The 2,971-nt window shown below is 35.7% G+C and overlaps 1 annotated feature.

Moving 5' to 3' along the window:
* Positions 2,052-2,576: an enhancer, noted in NCBI's record as "NANOG hESC enhancer chr3:105887777-105888301 (GRCh37/hg19 assembly coordinates)". NCBI's record gives its function as "activates a minimal SCP1, AML or CMV promoter by ChIP-STARR-seq in naive and primed H9 embryonic stem cells {active_cell/tissue: H9 hESC(naive and primed)}" and the evidence as "EXISTENCE:reporter gene assay evidence [ECO:0000049][PMID:30033119]".

Here is a 2,971-nt window from a genome sequence, read left to right as displayed (position 1 = left end):
GATGCTGCATGCTGCTGTGATGAGGAGAGTAAAAAGCACTTAAAATAAATGATCTGCCTAAGGGATTCACATTTATGATTGATTATTCATCTCTGGAAGGCTTGCTACAAGTAGGAAATTTTCTGCATTAAATCTTATATTCTAGAACATGATCCAAGCATCCTTACATACAACCTGAACATTATAACCTTAAAGAGATTTTAACTCTTCATTTTATGCAGCTCTGCTGCTGCATTTGACACTGTTGATGATCTGTTCTCAAAACTCTTTCTTTTCCAGGTTTCTGACACTTAGTTTTTATAGTACGTCTACTTGCCTTTTTGACAAGTTCTCCTTAATTGAATCTTCTTCCTTCAATCTTCTAACTCTGGTTGTACTGAAGGCCTAGTCCTTGCCCCTCTGCTTGCTTTATTTTCACAATCTTTCTTTGGCAGTTTTCTCACAACTTTTATCTGAATTACTTCTGACAGCAATAGTGAATTAGTGCAGATTTATCCCATCCTGTGTTTAATCTTAAAAATGTTTGTAGACTTTATTTTCTATTTCATAACACTTCACTGTATGAGGGCATAACAATTTGTCTTAATTGCAAAAATTTTAAAACAGTTTTTTCATATCTTGGAATGTGCTCTCAAAAGCTATGTCATTATATCTTATGGCTTTATGTACTGCCTGGCCTCCTGCCTTGGAGCAGAAGTACAATCTGAGAAAAACTGCCTTAAACTATATTTCTCTCCAACCCAGACATACATCCTAAATCTGTGCAAAATGCGGTCTAGTAGGGTTTTATTTAGCAATTCTGACAACCTGAAAATCAACATGTTCCAGACTGACCATCTCCTCTCTGGAAATATCATGATATTCTCTGCAAAATGATTAAAGTTTTCAGTATCATTTTCAACTTCTCCTTTAATTGGGGTATACAATAATTACATCTTTTTATTGTGTTCCGCTTCTCTTCCTTAGTCCTTCATAGTGTAGCATCTTCTATAATACACACAGGAATTTTCACCTTTTTGGAAGTCACAGACTTATTCAATAATCAAAAGCTTATGTATCCATCCCCAGAAGAACTTTATTATGCATACATTGTTTTATGGGGATTCATACTCTCTACCCTATAAAATGATGTGTAGCTAACTTCTTTTCCTCCAACACCTCCTGCAAATTGCTGATCAAATTTATCTTCCTAAAACACTCTTTATCAAGTCATTAGCCCACTCAAAAATTTTTATAACACTCAACTACATAGAGAATAAAATGGAAGAGTGGCATGATGTTTAACATATGTCAGGGTTTATATGGCTCAGCTACTTTATATATATTATTATACTTAATATTCTTAATAAACTTATATGATAATATTATCTTCTTTTATAAAGAAGAAATAGAGAGTTGGGATCCAAGTCCAAGTTTCTCTTACTTCAAAACTTCTGCTTTTTCTCTTACTCCAACTTGCCTTCATTATGCCATTTTGTCTAAAATCCAAACAACTTTCTTCACCTGGCACAAAGGGTTTTTTCCCAAAATTTCTTCCAACTTTGTCTTCCATGCTTCTCTTTTTATAGACTCTATTCTGACTGGAATTATCTTGTTATTCTCCCCTAAAACTTGCCATTCATACACATGCTCTTTTGTTTGTTTTGTCCTCATCTTAAATAGGAAAGAAAACTCAAAGACCTTTGCTCCTCTAATCCAATTCCTTGTTGTTTTCTAGGGTCCAATTAAATCATGATTTCCTCTGTCATAACTTTCCCTATGAACATCTAGTTGGTACTTTTAATCATACACTATATTGTCATTTCCTTTCAGTATTTTTCCTACAATCGTTTTCTATTATTATGTAAAATGACAGTTGTTTGTATTCTCCCATCCCATTAAAATATAGGCAATTGAGGGAGCTATATAATTTAATTTACAAATAGCAGGGTCTGTCTATATTTGTTGAATGAGTGACTGTGTATGTATTCATAAGTGACCCATTTTCCTGGCACTAACCCCAGCCACGATTATTTAATCTTTATTTTCTCTAAGTTGATCCCTTTGTGAATTCTTTATGAAGCAGAATAGCAAAGATTCTTGATTTTTCCTTTAAAATGGTATTAAAGTATTCACTTTAACCACACTGGAAATATATATTGAACTAAAGAGAGTCCTTCATTTAAAAAAGTGGAAACGGAAATTTCACTCAACTCTGGTTCTCAAATAGGCCATTAGGCTTTTCTTCTGTCAATACCGATGTTCCTCAATCAGAGTAAGAGGTTGTTCAGGCTTGCCTTTAATAAACAATAGAAGCAGATCCTGTTCACATTTGAAAATCTGTTAAGTCATGTGCTTAACGTTAACTGGTTAGGACATTGACATGGAATGTTGAGAGCTTTGTCAAACATGCCCACAGGTTCACCATTTGCATAATCCTAAATGGAGTATTCCCATTAGGGGAGTTTTGTGTAGCTGTAAGCAGGAAACATGTTATAGTACTCTTGTCAGAGATATAGAAGAAGAAATTTTTTTCTACCAGAAATCACATAATAAATCAAGGGCAGGGCCTAATATGCAAAGATTGCTTCTTTTCTTCTAATTTAAATGTCATAGAATTTGTTCTATCCTTATATGTAAAAGAATTGGGCCCTCTAAAGAGAAGCGAAAAACAGTAAATGTTTGACTCTTCTTTCTTTCTTTCTTTCTTTTTTTTGGAGATGGAGTTTCGCTCTTATTGCCCAGGCTGGAGTGCAATGGCACGATCTCAGCTCACCACAACCTCTGCCTCCCGGGTTCAAGCAATGCTCCCGCCTCAGCCTCCCAAGTAGCTGAGATTACAGGCGCACTCCACCATGCCCAGCTAATTTTTGTATTTTCAGTAGAGACGAGGTTTCACCATGTTGGTCAGGCTGGTCTCGAACTCCTGACCTCGTGATCTGCCCACCTCGGCCTCCCAAAGTCCTGGGATTACAGGCATGAGACACCATGC

Source organism: Homo sapiens, chromosome 3 (genome assembly GCF_000001405.40).
Source record: "Homo sapiens chromosome 3, GRCh38.p14 Primary Assembly".
Lineage (NCBI taxonomy): Eukaryota > Metazoa > Chordata > Mammalia > Primates > Hominidae > Homo > Homo sapiens.
The sequence above is the reverse complement of the archived record's forward strand: the minus strand, read 5'-3'. Positions and strand labels throughout refer to the sequence as shown.